The sequence below is a fragment of the Homo sapiens genome, chromosome 5 (assembly GCF_000001405.40).
Source record: "Homo sapiens chromosome 5, GRCh38.p14 Primary Assembly".
NCBI classification, from domain to species: Eukaryota; Metazoa; Chordata; class Mammalia; order Primates; family Hominidae; genus Homo; species Homo sapiens.
This window is the reverse complement of record NC_000005.10, coordinates 65987110-66004973: the sequence shown is the minus strand read 5'-3', so window position 1 is coordinate 66004973 and position 17864 is coordinate 65987110. Positions and strand designations below refer to the sequence as shown.

The 17864-nt window shown below is 36.8% G+C and overlaps 1 protein-coding gene across 18 annotated transcripts in view, besides 1 other annotated feature; it reads right to left on the bottom strand.

Annotated features, from left to right (window-relative positions):
- The window catches only part of ERBIN (erbb2 interacting protein), a 155972-nt gene that overhangs the window by 77573 nt on the left and 60535 nt on the right, over positions 1-17864 (bottom strand). For all 18 annotated transcript variants that reach the window (XM_047417376.1, XM_047417378.1, XM_047417380.1 and 15 more), the window contains 3 exons: positions 16292-16339; positions 12067-12264; positions 10110-10227 (listed from right to left, as the gene is read on the bottom strand). In XM_047417376.1, coding sequence (XP_047273332.1) covers positions 10110-10227; positions 12067-12255 — 307 coding nt within the window. In that variant the 5' untranslated portion in view covers positions 12256-12264; positions 16292-16339. The remainder of the gene's footprint in view (positions 1-10109; positions 10228-12066; positions 12265-16291; positions 16340-17864) is intronic.
- Positions 17294-17491: a silencer, noted in NCBI's record as "fragment chr5:65283311-65283508 (GRCh37/hg19 assembly coordinates)". NCBI's record gives its function as "represses an EF-1alpha promoter that drives an FKBP-Casp9 reporter gene in an ReSE screen in HepG2 liver carcinoma cells {active_cell/tissue: HepG2}" and the evidence as "EXISTENCE:reporter gene assay evidence [ECO:0000049][PMID:32094911]".

Below are 17864 nucleotides of genomic sequence, written 5' to 3'. Positions count from 1 at the left end.
TCCAAGGCTCTTCATTAGCTGCTCCTGTAAATCCCCACCTCCCTGGCTTCTATTCCTATTGCACTCCCATCTTGCTCACACTGTTTTAGTTACCCCGGGAACAGTCCTCACACATGCTATAGACGCTCACACCTTACAAAATAGCTTCTGGTACATCCTTACCTTAGTTATTCACATGGCTTCAAGTTTTTGCTCAAGGCCTACCCTCAACAACTGTGTTACCTACTCTCCAAAGATGGCTCATTTTATCCTTACAGATAAAGTACACAGGGGCAGGGTGCAGTGGCTCACGCATGTAATACCAGCACTTTGGAAGGCTGAGGTGGGCAGATCATTTGAGGTCACAATTTCGAGGCCAGCCTGGCCAACATGGCGAAAACCCGTGTAAACTGAAAATACCAAAAAAAATTAGCCAGATATGGTGGCCTGCACCTGTAGTCTCAGCTACTTGGGAGGCTGAGGTACAAGAATTGCTTGAACCTGGGAGGTGGAGACTGCAGTACGCTGAGATCGCACCACTGTACTGCAGCCTGGGTGACGGAGATTCTGTCTCAACTCACACATACACACACGCACGCGCGCGCACACACACACGCACACACAGACTGAATTTTATCACAATTTACTTCTTAATTCTCTGTCAACTATCTGTTCTTTTCTAATTATCACGACTTCAATAAATAATGCTTCTTCTTTGACGTATACTTCTTTAGTAACAAAATTCTGCTGGCCAGGCATGGTGGCTCACGCCTGTATTCCCACTACTTTGGGAGGCCAAGGTATTCGGAGTACTGTTTGAGGACAAGGAGTTCAAGACCAGCCTGGGCAACATGGCAAAACCCCATCTCTTAAAAAAAAAAAAAAAAAAAATAGCCGAGCATGGTGGTGCACACCTGTAGTCCCAGCTACTCAGGAGGATGAGGGGGAAGCCTCCCTTGAGTCCAAGAGTTCGGGATGCAGTGAGCTATGATCATGCCACTGTACTCCAGCCTGGGAAACAAACAGAGCAAGACACCGCCTCTTATAAAAAAAAAAAAAAAAAAAAAAAAAGACTGCTGCTCCAATGTGAAATGAAGCTCTAGATTAGATATCACAAAACACAAATGTCTTCTTCAAATCACTCTCAGTTACAGAAGAACTCTCTCTCTTTACTTCTGAGAAAGAGAAAACCCCTTCTGACACCTAGGAGCTGGCCTGGTACTATCACTAGTCCTTGGTCTTAATACAAACAAGCCCTGGCATTCAGATGGAGGCCTCAGTGTTCTCCTGCTGAACAAAACTATTTCACAGAACATCAATATCACACCAATCCATTCTGTAACCATGATATATCAAGACAAAAACACATTTATAATCATGTCTGAAAAAAGACAAAACATGATATTGTCCAAGCCAAAAAATACCAAACAGCACCTTTTCCCAGATAATAAGTGACTGATGTATTGTTTACTGATTACAGCTTTAGTTCTACTCTAATCAACTTCTCTATAGATAACATTAAGATACCCAATCATAGAATTACCCCACTTCTTGACAGCATCCCATCCACGGCAAACCGTTATTTTCTGAAACCTTCCCAATCACCAAGCAAAAGCCCAAATCCTGTATTTTTTTTTTACACCTTCTGCGACCCTCATGAATCCCAATAATATGAGTTTTTGCTCACCATGAAGTAATAAACACAAACTGTTTAACTGCAGGTGAGTCCCTGGTGGTCTCTGCCAGGCAGGTGTCAACATCCCACTGTCCCAGTTGTTGAATTTAAGTCAACAGGAGTCCCTTACTGTTCCTGCACTCCAAAGGCAATGATTACCATACTACAGAATAAAACATTCGAGTTCTGGTCAAAACTAACCGGAAATTGCAAACTCAAATGATGATAGCTTCCAGAGGATAACACATGTATGATTTGGACCAGATATAACACAACAAATAATAATGCCTACGCTATGGTAGGGCACAAATGAGTGCACACTCCAGTTAACAGTCTACATTTATCAAAACACTTGGCAGTGGCCAGAAATCACCAGTCTAAACATGGACAGTGTAAAACATGGTTTTCCTTCTTTCATTATCTTAAATAAAGTGATTTATTAAAACAGCTGGGCTCAAAACGTCAACTACAAAGCAAAATGGCAATTTTAGAAATTTAAAACACAAGAGCAACATACCATAACTTCCCCATCAATCTGTAATATCCTCTTAATCAATTTAACTTCTTTTAGTTTAATGTGAAAAGGCTTTTCCACTAGTTTGTCCCCAGTCATCAGATTTTCTCAAGTTAAAAGAACTGCTTTCTGCTTTGACCACAAACTTTCAATTCACTCTTCCTGGGCTTTTTGACTCAACTAAAAAGAAATACCTTGGTTAACCTCGCTAGTATTGCCATATTAGACAGAAGGATCTGAGCTACTCTTTCTGGTTTCTCTGCCTTGTAATCCCTGGCATTTTATTCATTATGTTCATATAAGAGAATTAATAGCTACACGGTTTTTCTTTTATCTCCCCTCCCCACCAGCTTTCCCCATCAACCACTTTGACAGAATGTTTTAATCACATCTTCTCAGTCTTCCCTACAAGAAAAGCCATTTGATTGCAACAGCAGATCATTTCTCTAATACTGGTTGCTATTTGCAATGGCTTGGGATAGCAGCTTAGAGAACTTTTTATAACTTTAAAAAGTGTACATGCACACATTATGTTTATTGCAGCACTATTTATAATAGCAAAAACTTAGAACCAACTCAAATGCCCATCAATGACAGATTGGATAAAGAAAATGTGGCACATAATACACCATGGAATATTATGCAGCCATAAAAAAGAATGGGTTCATGTCCTTTACCGGGACATGGATAAAGCTGGAAACCATCATCCTCAGCAAACTAACACAGGAACAGAAAATCAAACGCCGCATGTTCTTGCTCATAAGTGGGAGTTGAACAATCAGAATACATGGACGCAGGGAGGGGAACATCACACACTGGGGCCTGATGGGGAGTGAGGGGAAAGTGGAGGGATAGCATTAGGACAAACACCTAATGCATGTGAAGCTTAAAACCTAGATGACGGGTTGATAGGTGCAGCAAACCACCATGGCACGTGTATACCTATGTAATAAACCTGCACGTTCAGCACATGTATCCCAGAACTTAAAGTAAAATAAAATAAAATAAAATAAAAAGCATACATACAGTAAACCAAAACTCGAGAAAAGAAAGAGAAGAGCAAATTAAGACCCAGAACAAATTAACATTCCAGTTTTATCATAGACTGTAAAAGAAAAAACTGAATTTCTTGATAAATACAAATATTAAATCCCTTAGAATTATATACTTCCTAGACTGATCCATTTCATGTGTTTAACAATCTTACAGATGAACTAACAAATTTAGATTAAGTCCCCAGTTTAATAACCAGACCAATAAACAGAGAAGCAAAGAATAGAGGCCATTTCTTTTTATTCCTAAACCATGCTAACTTACCAAATGAAAAACACTGATAAGAACTACATAAAAAATCAGAAACTATCACAGCCTAAAAGCCAAAATCCTAAAAGCAAGTGCTTTTAAAGAAATACAGCTTGATGATATGATGAATAACAAAGTATGCCACAAATTTCCTGCCTCCTTCCAAACAGTGCACAACAGCTAATGAATCTGAAAACTGTACCTAGCATATTATGATAAACTTAAATATTAGACTGAAATGATATAAAAACCTAAAAGGAGAAAACACTAGAGCTTAAATATAAGCGAAACAGTAATAGCTTATATTATTAAATTTTAATAATTTCATGAAATTACATTTTAATAATTTCAAAATATTACATTTGCTTAAATGTACTAACCTTTCTTTTAAGCAGTCTATTATCAAATCAAAAATGCAACAAAATTCAAATTTCTAACATCCAGCCACATCGACCTAATATGCAACCTAATATGTGTGCTTTATTAATTTTTTTTCAACACAATAGACCTATACAAACATACATATTAGGGTTGAATACTACAGGTTGATTAAAATTATCTCAGCTCTCTTAAGGTAAAATGGGTTAAATACACCACTTATGAAGAATATAAGATGAGGAATTAAAATAACTAGAATTTTTACTTGGCAAGGTAACTTCTGACACTATCATAGTCTCTTGTCTCCTTTCAGCTAGCCTTGTTATGAACAATGAAGTGAAGTTTCACTTAGACATCAATTCAAGACTAAAAGGAGAGAAAATACAAGTAACAAGTAAAATGCAAAAAAACCAATTCTGCAAGTTAAAGAATAGATGTGGTCCCTTCTATGTGAGGAATCATATAACAAGAACAGACCAATTTAATTTTTAGTCAAATAAACTAAGACTTATTGGCAGCAATAAGTAACGTCATTCCTCCTTGAGGAAGAACAGTTAAGTACTTTTCCTAAATCTTTTGATCACATAAAGATTATCTCCAACGCCTCAAAAACATTCACAGGTTGAAATAATTGTTTAAAAGTTTTCAATATAGTAGAAGCAACAACAAAATGCTAAACTAGAAAGGTAAAAGAGCTACTCTGCAGTCTAATAGGTTGCCTAACTCTACAACATGTAATTCTTTAAATAGTTATACAAAAGCCTAGGATATTAATTTAATGATGCTGTAGGGTTAGAACATAGCCATAATTCCACCATTCTCATTTTAGAGTAATAAACATGAGGTTAATCCATTTTCATGAAGCATATATGCAAGTTATTTTCATTACTGAGCCAAGCAATACTTCTATACCATAAAGACTGATAGCAAAGTTTACCCAATACATACAATTTCAGATGTATACGATTTTTAATCAATACCCAAATTATCTTGAGTCCCTTTCCTTATACCTTAACAACTCCCATTTAAAAAGATCAGAAAGATACTCCTTTAGGATGAAAAGGTAGATGTGATGACTTCTAAAGTGACAATAATTCTAGAATTCTATAATACTCTGGATTAATTTATCTGTCAACATATGTAGAGATACTCCTTTAGGATGAAAAGGTAGATATGATGACAACTAAAGTGACAATAATTCTAGAATTCTATAATACTCTGGATTATGTGTCAACATCCATAGAGATCTGATGGTAATCAAATTCATTTACTTTGGAATGTATCAGGCACCACCAAGCACTAATACTAAGTACTAGGGATGGAAACACAAATTTCACACTGCCCTCAAGGAAAAGTCTGAAACGGCAGACATTTAGCCTGAATAAAATAATGAGAGGAATAGTCACACAAATCAAAAGCCAACTGATCTAAACACTTCAAAAATGGAAATTGTCATGAAAATCATGAGCAAACTGTTCCTGATTTAAAAGGACCAGAGACACAACAACTAAATGCTGTACATGATCTTTAACTTGTAAGGAGGGATATGCAGAAGGGGCCTAAAGAGTTTAAAAGAGCATTATTAGGCAACAGGGGAATTGTGATGTTAAATTTCTCAAGAGTGATAATGATGTTGTGGTTATTCCGATTCCCCTGTTCTTAGGGGATGCATATTTAAACATTTAGGAGTGAAGACATGATGCCTCCAACTTAAATTTAAATAAGCTTAGCAAAAAGACTTTTGTTTTTATTTATTTATTCATTTGAGATGGAGTCTCATTCTTGTCGCTGGAGTGCAATGGCACAATCTCGGCTCACTGCCACCTCTGCCTCCCGAGCTCAAGCAATTCTCCTGCCTCAGACTCCCGAGTAGCTGGGATTATAGGCGTCCACCACCAAGCCTGGCTTATTTTTTGCATTTTTAGTAGAGACGGGGTCCACATTCGCCAGGCTGGTCACAAACTCCTGACCTCAGGTAATCTGCTCACCTTGGCCTCCCACAATGCTGGGATTACAGGGGTGAGCCACCACGCACAGCCAAAAAGACATTTTATATAAGCAATGATATGCATATATCTTTTTCCTGAACATATTTAAATTCACATACATGAAAAAGAAAAGTAAGACAAATGTAACAAAATGCTAACAACTGGTGGAGCCATGTGTGTTCTTTTACCTTTTACACATGTTTCTTATTTGGGCATAATTTTTTTTTTTTTTTTTTTTTTTTTGAGACAGGGTCTTGCTCTATTTTCCAGGCTGGAGTGCCATGGCATGATCACGGCTTACCGCAGCCTTGACTTCCCAGGCTCAAGCAATCCTCCCACAACAGCCTGAAGTAGTCGGAACCACAGGCACATGCCACCATGTGCAGCTAAGTTTATGATTTTTTGTAGAAACAAGGTTTTGCTATGTCGCCCAGGCTGATCTCAAACTCCTGAGCTCAAGGGATCCTTCCACCTCGACCTCCCAAAGTGCTGGGATTACAGGTGTGAGCCACTGGGCCTGGCCAAAAATTTTTAAGATAGCTAGATAAAAAGCAGGACATCACTATGCATGAATCCAATCTAAATAAAAATTAAATAATAAATTTATTCAAAATATAAATAGCTCTAAAGTTAAACAGCTCAATAACAAAAGGTAAAATAAAATACAGTACTATCTTTAAAGCTAAAATTTATTAGTTATTGTGAACTGAACGTCAGTACGGCACTAACCACTAAAACCTTCACCTTAACCTAGGATGAACATAAGCAAATAATAAATCCTTAAAACAGAAGTCCTGATTTGATCATAATCCTATAAAACATACATTTCAATGACCTGCAACTAAAATAAACAGAATTTAATAAGTGGAGATATATAAATATATATATATATCTATATATATATATTTTTTTTTGAGAGTCTTGCTGTGTCGCCCAAGCTAGAGTACAGTGGTGCTATCTTGGCTCACTGTAACCTCCATCTCCTGGGGTTCAAGTGATTCTCATGCCTCAGCCTCCTGACTAGCTGGGACTACAGGCACGTGCCACCACGCCTGGCTAATTTTTGTATTTTTAGTACAGACAGGGTTCACCACGTTGGCCAGGCTGGTCTTGAACTCCTGACCTCAAGTGATCTACCCACCTCAGCGTCCCAAAGTGCTGAGATTACAGGCGTGAGCCAACATAACTTTGTGTGTGTGTGTGTGTGTGTAGACAGACACCTGGTTAATTAGCTTTCCAAAGTTAACTGTTAATTGTGAAAACAGGATGAATTCTAATAAGCCCTAAAATGCTTCATAGTAAGTCCTAAAATTTAGGAAAACTGATAGGAGAAGGATTACTTCTGGATACTCATATCATTAGGACAAAGAATGACTTTGAAGCTAAGAGCTGTGGAATATGATTACTACATATTTGCTGGCACTGCTGCACTAACTTGGTGGGACTTGTTTATAAAGTTTTTTCCCCAATTCTTATTAAGAAGTATTACATGACAGTATTTAGCGTTTAGTGAAAGTCCTATATTTGGTCAGACCATTTAAAATTTATCCTCATGTGATTCTTTCTTTTTTGTAATTATAAAAGAAATACACACTCATTCTAAAAATTTCAAGGGCTGATTTCTCTCTCCTTCTGAGGTAAGGACTTAACATTTTAGAACGTATCTTCCATACTTAATGAATATCAAACTAAACATACTAAACAAGACTACCTGGCCTTAATAATTTCAACATATATATAAAAGTGATATATCACATCAACAAAACAAAGGAAAAAAATCTCTCAATGGATGCAGAAAAAGCATTTGACAAAATTCAACGTCCTTTCATAATAAACTCTCAACACATCAGGTATAGACGGAAAGCACCTCAACACAATAAAGGCCATATGTGACAAACCCACAGCTCACATCATACTTAACAATGAAAAGTTGAAAGCTTTTCCTTTAAGATCTGGGATAAGGCAAGGATGCCTATTCCTGCCACTTCTTTTCAACGTTGTACTTAAGTCCTACCCAGAGAAAGAAATAAAAGGATTCCAAATTAGAATAGGAGAAATTGAAGTGTCCCTATTTGCAGACAACATAACCTTATATATAGAAAACCCTAAAGACTCCAACCAAAATACTGTTAGAATAAATTCAGTAAAATTGCAGGATACAAAAATCAACATACAAAAATCAGTAGCATTTTTACATATTAACAACAAACTATATGAAAAGGTTATTAAGAAAACAATCCCATTTATAATAGCTACCAAAAAAATAAAATACTTAGAAATAAATTTAACTAAAGAGGTAAAAGACATATACACTGAAAACTATAGAACATTTGATGAAAAAAATTGAAGCAGCACAATAAATGGAAAGAAATCCTGTGTTCACGGACTTCAAAATCAATATTGTTAAAACGTCCATACTACCCAAAGTGGTCTACAGATTCAACCCAATCCCTACCAAAATTCCAGTGACATTTTTCATAGAAAAAGAAAAATCCTATGATTCATATGGAGCCACAAAAGACTGAATACCCAAAGCAACGGTGAACAAAAAGAACTAAACGGCAGGCATCACACCCGACTTCACAATATGCTACAAAGCAATCGTAATCAAAGCAGCATGGTAATGACATGAATACAGACAGACCAATGGAACAGAATAGACAGCCCAAAAATAAATCCACGTATTTTGTCAATTATTTTTTGACAAAGGTGCCAAGAACACACAATGGGTAAAGGACAGTCTCTTCAATAAATGGTGTTGGGACAACTGGACATCCACATGCAGAAGAATGAAATTAAACCCTTATCTTACACCATTTAAAAAATCAACTCAAAATGGATTAAAGACTTAACTATAACACCCAAAACTGTTAAAAAAAAAAAAAAAAAAAAACTACTAGGAAAAAAAAAATAGGAGAAAAGCTCCATGACATTCTGGAGCCTGGCAATGGCTATAACAATGATTTTTCTTAATATGACCCCAAAAGCACAGGCAAAAAAAGCAAAAACAGACAAACGGGATCACACCACACAAAACAGCAGCTGTACAGCCAAAGAAACAACAGAGTGAAGAAACAGATTATGGAGTGGGAGAAAATGTTTGCAAGCTATACATCTGAGAAGGGGTTAGCATTCAAAATATGTAAGAAACTAAAAAACCTCAATAACAAGAAAACAAGTAATCTGACATAAAAATCAGCAAATGACCTGAATAGATAGTTCTCAACAAAACACACACAAATCACCAACAGGTATATGAAAAATGTTCAACATCATTAATCACCAGAGAAATGCAAATTAAATCTACAGTGAGATACAACCTCACACCTGCTAGAATGAGTAAAAAGACTAAAGATAAGTGCTGATGAGGGTGTCGAGAAAAGGGAATGCTTGCACACTGTTGGTGGGGATGTAAATTAGTATAGCTGCTATGGAAAACAGTATGGAGAGTCCTCAAAAAATCAGAACTACCACAAGATCCAGCAATCCCACTACTGGATATGTATCAAAGTGAATGAAATCAGTATGCTGAAGAAATATTTACACTCCCATGTTCATTACAGCACTATTCACAATAGCCAAGATAAGGAACCAACCTAAGTGTCCATCAACGGATGAATGAATGAAGAAAATATGATATACACAATGGAATACTATTCAGCCTTTAAAAAGAAGAAAACCCTGTTAATTTGCAATAACATGGATAAACCTGGAGGATATTATGTTAAGTAAAACAAGCCAGGAACAGAAAAAAAAAAAAAAAATACCACATAAGCTCACTTACATATGGAATCTTGCTGAGGCAGAGGCAGAGTAGCATGGTGGTTACCAGGGGCTGGGGATGGGGAAGCAGGGATGGAGGATTGGAATATGTTGTTCAAAGGGTATAAGATTTCAGTTTGACAGGAGAAATAAGCACAAGAGATCTATCCTGCAACATGATGACCGCAATTAAAAATGTAAAAACAACAACAAAAAAATCCCTTACATTTATTCTCCATGTGCTTTAAGCTATCACAGATTTTACATACACATATTAAACAAATTCTAAGCCAAGGCTATAACATTTAATTTTACTGTATTTGATACAAAACAGGTGGCAAAACTTGTAAAGTCGGGCAACTATCTTTACATAAAACATTCTTAGATGAAGTTCATATTAATACATTAGATTTAACTTATTTTTATATTTTTATTTTTGAAAACTCAATAGAAATCTTAGTAATGAAACATGTTCCCAAGTACAAAAAATTATGGGCAAAAAAAGCCTTACCATTCTTGCTGACATCCAGTTCCCTGAGATTAATAAGGTTTGCAATGGATGCTGGTAACGTTGTTAAATCATTGTCTGGCAAACTCAGTTTGTGTAAAGACTGACAGTTAAAAAGTTGCTATTGAAAAAAGGGAGGAAAGAATGTCAATTATATACATCTTTAAATATTTCATGAACTAACTTTTATTATCAGCCATATTAAAACTGAATGAGTTATAACCTACACTAATACCAGGAAAGATGCCTCATTGTTCTGGTTATGCTATTATGGATATGAATACAACTGAACCATTCAGATTAATTTATATCTTCATACTTCTACCTTAAGTAAAATGCACTTAGTGAGAATAAGTATATGGCTATATCCTCTGTTGAGTTAGTAAAAAAAATAAGTGGCTACTAAATGTGATAAACTCTGGAGCTTGTCTTTCAAGCAACCTTATTCCAAAATGAAAGCCCTATTTAAGAAGAGTATTCTTCTAAAAATGTAAAAGTGTTAGGTGTGATAAGACATAAATGATTCAGTTATTCGCACTGTTGTAGCAAGACTTTCTCTTTTCACCAAAACCCCTAAACCAAGACTCTACTGGTGGTGATTAGAGAAGGAGACAAATTTTGGTCCTCTATATTCTCTAGAACTAGCTAAGGAAGATAAATTGCCTGCTGAAGAACAACATATAAGGAAGAACAGTAAATTATCCAACCACAACCTAGGTTTCTAGTTCATAAACATGAGACCAACAACCTTTAACTTTTATCCATAGCCATATAAAGATTTCTCTGTAAGATGACCCCTAGGATAGCAGTGGCTTTCAAAATGTTCTTACTGACCACCAGAAAAAAGCCTGTTGCATACTGTCATCCAGTATGTATATACACACAAATCTAAAATATTTTCATAAAACAATGGCTATATACAACACACTCTATTTTCTATTTTTTATAATTAAGGTTGCAGGAGTAGGTATAAGATGTCCATTAAATTTGAATTTCAGACAAACAACAAATAATTTTTTAGTACAAGTATATCCCACAGTTTTATGGGACACACTTACACTAACAAATTATTCCTTATTTGAAAATTCTAATTTAAGCGTCCTATATTTCCTAATTCTCGCAGTCCAAATTTATAGTTTTTTTTCCAAAATGCTGCCCACACATACTGAATTGATTTTATGAGCTACCAATGGGTCTCCACGCACGGTTTCAAAAACACTGCTGTTTGGGTGGCAAAAGATCCCAACAATTAAATATATAGCAATTAACAATTAAATATATAGCAATTTAACTGGTATAGGATAATGAGAGGGAAAATTGAAATAGGATAATGAGAGACTGGGATTTAAGAAGAAAAAGTACACTGAAAAAAGTTTAGTGAAAAAAAAACAAGGTGATAACTTGAGAAGGTGTTTCATGGCAACAAACCAACTTTCTCCTTTCAGTTGTTACTAGACTTCAGAAATGTTAAGTCCTCCAAAACCTTTCCAAACAAATTGTAAATGGAGGAAAACAATATCTGTATGAACTCAAGAAAAGCTGTTTAACAATAAAATTATGATATGGTAAAAGGACAATTGCCCTCAATTATAACAATACACATTAATGTCTTATGAAAAGTAGGAAAAGACAGCATTAATTTCAATTATTGCTCTAGTTAAATCTACTGACTCCAGAAATTATTTAGTCTCATTATTTACCTTAATGGCTACAATACAACTAAAATTAAATACAAAATTTTACGTTATCTGCACAAGTATAAAAGCAATTAACTTGAAGAAATACAAGTTTTAAAATCGACTTTTAAAAATTTGAATTGTACGGCATACTCTACGATACAATTAAACCAAAAAATTCAACCACACAAATATATTGGCAACTTTATAGCAATATTAGGAATATCATATTTCTAGATATAAAAATAACCAAAGATAATTCTTGAAAGAAAGTATTAGCATACCTTTGGAAGCTCTTCAATCTGATTAGCATCTAAATAGAGTTCCTCCAAGGTTTTTTCAAAAGTAAAAATCTCTTTCGGAACTTGTTCTAAGCTGCAATGAGAATAATCAAGAGTAGTGACAGTCTCCTCTTCCCCTCGTAGACAGCGACATGGTACCAACCGCACAAACAAACTTCGTTTTGTAGTCATTTTTAGACACTGCAATATTCGAATAAAAAGAAATTTAAAACATACATATTACAACGGTTTTTCAGAACAAATCATTCCAATCTATCACAATTCATATGTCACAGATAAACACTTCTCCTGCCACTATACAAGCACAATGGAACCCATTTAACATTGCTTTAATACCCACATTTATAACTACTGGATTTCAAATTAAACTCAAGCTCTTTAGTACTTCACAAAGCAATCCATGAAGTAGCCATTTACATGCTTCTTCAAAAACTGTGCTTTGAGGCCGGGCGCAGTGGCTCACACCTGTAATCCCAGCACTTTGGGAGGCCGAGGCAGGCGGAACACGAGGTCAGGAGATGAGACCATCCCGGCTAACAGAGTGAAACCCCGTCTCTCCTAAAAATACAAAAAATTAGCTGGGCGAGGTGTGGGCACCTGTAGTCCCAGCTACTCGGGAGGCTGAGGCAGGAGAATGGCTTGAACCCGGGAGGTGGAGCTTGCAGTGAGCCGAGATCGCGCCACTGCATTCCAGCCTGGGCAACAGAGCGAGACTCAAACAAACAAACAAAAAAAACTGTGCTTTGAGTCTGCTTCTTAGTACTCAACAAGAAAAACTCTAATAAGACGAAGATTTTTATTTAATTTTACTTAATTTCTGAGTAAGAGTTCTATGAGTCTTCATTAAGGACATGATTAAGTGCAGTTTTGAGTAGGAAGTGGGAATGCGAAGATATTTTCAGGTCTTCTTAACCAGCCATCAGGGATCAACCACCCTATAACCTTCCTATGAAAAGTCCAAGTTTCCACATGAAAATTCCCACCTACCCCAAGTATATTTTGTTTCAATTAAATATTGGCCATATAGTTTTTCTAAAGAACTTATATGTCTTAAATGTGTTTAAGGTTACACACTGGTGCAAAAACTTGCTTAAATAAAGAACAGATTTCAAATTAATTGAGGGAAAAGGCCAATTCTGAATTAGTGAACATTCTCAGGGCCAACTTTATTAAGTACACAATGTATATACATAGGTTAATTCTAACTAGGCTAAGATTATATTAGCAAAGTAAGATTATATTTGCACAAGTAATAAAGCAATTAACTTGAAGAAATAAAAGTTTAAAAATCGACTTTTAAAAATTTGAATTGTGCAGCATACTCTAAGATAAAATTAAACCAAAAAAATCAAACACCACACAAATACATTGGCAATTTTATAGCAATTTTAGGAATAAATAAAATTAAAATGATAATTAGTGTTATCAATTCTTTCTGTGTAAAACAATCCATTCTTACTGTAGTCAGAAGATTCTATTAGAGTATTAGATTACCTCTAACCAGAACCAAGACTAGGTTAAGGCTAGTAAGGACTCAGGCACAAAATATAAGGAGGTATCAAAAAATTCAGTAATCAAGATAAATACAATATCTTAATAAAATGTTTTAAAAATACAGATTACTGAAAAAGAATCCATGTATAAACAAAATGTCCAATGTTAAAATACAGACAGGATCTGGTATTAGTGATTTTTCCTTTTGCCTCAAGCTGTAACAGGGATCTGCAAGGCACTGCTTCTAATTCTTCTACTTCATATTATATGATATTTTAAAAGTGACAAAGAATAAGATATGTATTTCCCTTGCAATCTTTTTAAAAAAGTGATTATTCTAGGCTGGGCGCAGTAGCTCAGACCGGTAATCCTAGCACTTTGGGAGACCAAGGCAGGCAGATCACCAGAGGTCAGGAGTTCGAAACCAGCCTGGCCAACATGGTGAAACCCCATCTTTATACAAAAAAATTAGCCAGGCGTGGTGGCGGGTGCCTGTAATCCCAGGTACTTGGGAGGCTGAGGCAGGATAACTGCTTGAACCCGGGAGGCAGAGGCTGCAGTGAGCCGTGATTGTGCCACTGCACTCCAGCCTGAGCAACACAGCGAGACTCCGTCTCAAAAAAAAAAAAATTTTTTTTTTACTATACTTACTCAATCACTCTATACCAGGCACTGTGCTAAGTTCTTTAGATAAACTACATGCAGACTCTCATTTCATCATCACTACAATTTTTTTTTGAGATGGAGTCTTGCTCTGTCACCCAGGCTGGAGTGCAGTGGCACGATCTCAGCTCACTGCAAGCTCCGCTGCCCGGGTTCACGCCATTCTCCTGCCTCAGCCTCCCGAGTAGCTGCCCGCCACCATGCCCAGCTAATTTTTTTTGTATTTTTAGTAGAGACAGGGTTTCACCATGTTAGCCAGGATGGTCTCCATCTCCTGACCTCATGATCCGCCTGTCTTGGCCTCCCAAAGTGCTGGGATTACAGGCGTGAGCCACTGCACTCGGCCTACTTACTCAGTCACTCTATACCAGGCACTGTGCTAAGTTCTTTAGATAAACTATATGCAGACTCTCATTCCATCGTCACTACAACTTTCTAAGATATGTGCTGTTATCTGCATTTTTCCATGAAGAAACTGAGTCCGTGCTCTTCTATACTGCTTCTCAATATATAATAATGCATACTTGAAGGAAGGTTCTTAAAACAATTCAAATATCAGTAAATCTTCACTACATACTCCTCCTTCAGAATTTAAAAAAAGAAACTCAGATGTCAAACATTAAATGTTTCCATCTAAAATCTCTGTCAACAAATAAATATCCAGAAAAGTTTACTACTTAGTAACAATCTTTGTTTATATTAAGGCATATTTTATCAGTAAGAATAAACAGTTCATCTAATAAGATTTTAATCGCCAGAAGAGAATTTAGATTTTACCTATGTGCTTATGAGATCATTTTAAAAATTCCAAAAATGAATACAAAATTTCTTGTTCTAGACATTTTAAGAATACAACTGATACTGAGTTAGGAGGACACTTAAGAATGGGAAAGAATTCTATCTGCTATGTCCAGTATGGTAGCCACTAGACACATGTGGCTATTTACACTTAGTATTAAAAGCTAAATCAAATAAAATTAAAAATTCAGCTTATTAGTCACACATGTAAACACTTAATGGCCACTGGACCATACTGGGTCCAAACATATAAAGATAACATATAAAGATGTAGGGCACTTGAGATATAAGACAATTTATAGGGTCAAGTAATTGTTCATGGAGATATAACAATTTCCGATTTTTTTTTCTGTAGAGCTAATCATGTTGCAGACAGACAAACAGAAATTGCAGAACTTCTCTGAAAGGAGAACGAATTCAGAAAAGAAAGATTAGATTGGGCTCTAGGAAGCTAAATAGAGTTGAAATCTCAAAGGAAAACTTTCTGTGAATAGAGACTACAAAGACAGCGGTTTAGACCTCAGATCAAATTCAGTGGGCCTGGTGCCAATATAAAAACGAACACCAAATCTATATAGGCCTGCAAGTGGAAGTGGTATAGACTAAAAACTGCTGACTGATAAGAAAGGCTGAGAACCTTAATTCTTGAGGGCAGAGGAGGAAAGTAACATACGAAAGAGAAGTAAATGAGTAACAGTATCCAAAGACTGATTCTCCTTTACAGAATAACACAAGGAAATAATCCAAAAGGAAGAAAGCCTAGCCTGATCAGAACTGAATTGATCAACATGGGAACTGCTCATTAGAATTTCAGGTATGTGATAAGGAAGAGCCACTTTATAAATCAGAAGTAACACTGTAGACATAAGAATCTTCTAATCACAACGAAGAAGAAAGTGTCGACCCAGAAAATGAGCACAATAATAAGCTTTTTTTTTTTTTTTTTTTTTTGGAAACAGGGTCACACTCTGTTGCCCAGGCTGGAGTGCAGTGGTGCGATCTTGGCTCACTGCAGCCTCGATCTCCCAGGCTCAAGCGATCCTCCCACCTCAGCCTCCCAAGGGTACTACCATGCCACCAGCCACCATGCCTGGCTAATTTTTGTAATTTCTACAGAGATGGGGGTTTCGCCATGTTACCCAGGCTGGTCTCAAACTCCTGCACTGACCTCCCAAAGTGCTGGGATTAGAGGCATGTGCCACTGCAACTGGCTGCTGAAAACTTTCTACCAAAAGAAATTGAAGTTACTTACCACTGGGTTGAATTTATCTCCCTGATGTTTCTTAATTGAGCCAACATTCTATGGAAAGCAAAAAAAGAACCAAAATTAACAATAAAAACGGATCTTTATGACTTTAAGGAACATCTCTTTAAATACCTAATTTATATAAAAGTTAAATTAAACTTCTCAAAAATTAACCTCTGTAAACTGAAAACAGTTAAGACCAAATAGTCAAACCAAAATATTAGCCTCTTAAAAACGTACACACAAGTGTATGCACACACACACACACACATATTTACCAGCTTCTAAATAAATGACTAGCTTTTTTTTTTTTTAAGAGACTGGGTCTCACTCTGTCACCTAGACTGCAGCCCAATGGCACAAACATGACTGACTGCGGCCTCAAACTCCTGGGCACAATCAATCCTCCCACCTCAGCCTCCTGAGAAGCTAGGACTACAGGTGTATACCACCATACGCAGCTAATTTTAAAAAAACTTTTTTAGAGACAGGGTCTCACTATGTTGGCCATGCTGGTCTTGAACTCCTGGCCTTAAGCGATTCTCCCACCTCAGTCTCCCAAAGTGCTGGGATTACAAACGTGAGACACTGCACCCAGCCAAATGGCTATCTTTATAGTGGATAGTCTTCATACATTTATAAACTCTTGAGAGCCCTCATTATATAAATACTCTTTCACCTACCATTAAAATGCCATTAATTTGAACTTACTGAGAAATAACTTTCCAAGCAAATAAACTCGAATGGCCAATTATATTTTAGTAATTTTTCATAGTTCTATGTGGCAGGCACTGTTAATTGTTTATGGGATTTATTTTCCCTTCTAAGATTTTTTTTTTTTTTTTTGGAGACGTATCACTCTGTTGCCCAGGCTGGAGTACAGTGGTACAATCTCAGCTCACTGCAACCTCCACTTCCTAGGTTCAAGCGATTCTCCTGCCTCAGCCTGCCGAGTAGGTGGGATTACAGGTGTGCACCACAACACCTGGCTAACTCTTTAGAGAGACGGGGTTTTGCCATATTGGCCAGGCTGGTCTCAAACTCCTGACCTCAAGTGATCCAACCACCTTGGCCTCCCGAAGTTCTGGGATTAACAGGCGTGAGCCACCACGCCTGGACTTTTTTTTGAGACAGGGTCTTGCTCTGTCACCCAGGCTGGAATGCAGTGGCACAATCACGGCTCACTTCAGCCTCAACCTCCTGGGCTCAAAGGATTCTCCTGCCTTAGCCTCTTGAGTGGCTGGGACTATAAGCGTGCACCACCACACCCAGCTAACCTGTTTTTCTTTTTTCGTGTGTGTGTGTGTGTGTGTGTGTGTGTAGACAGTCTCTCACTATGTTGCCCAAGCTGGTCTCAAACTCCTGGCTCAGCAATCCTCCCACTCAATTCAGCCTCCCAAAGTGCTGGGTTTACAGGTGTGACCTGGCCTTCCTTTCAAGACTCTAGACTATTCAGGGCAGTAAGGGGCCCAGCTCAATTACCACTTTTGAGCTTTCCATGCCTGGAGGGGTAAACAAGAAATGGGTAACACAGTGAAAATCAAAGACTTATATTCTGAAGTCTGCTTTGGGGGTGAAG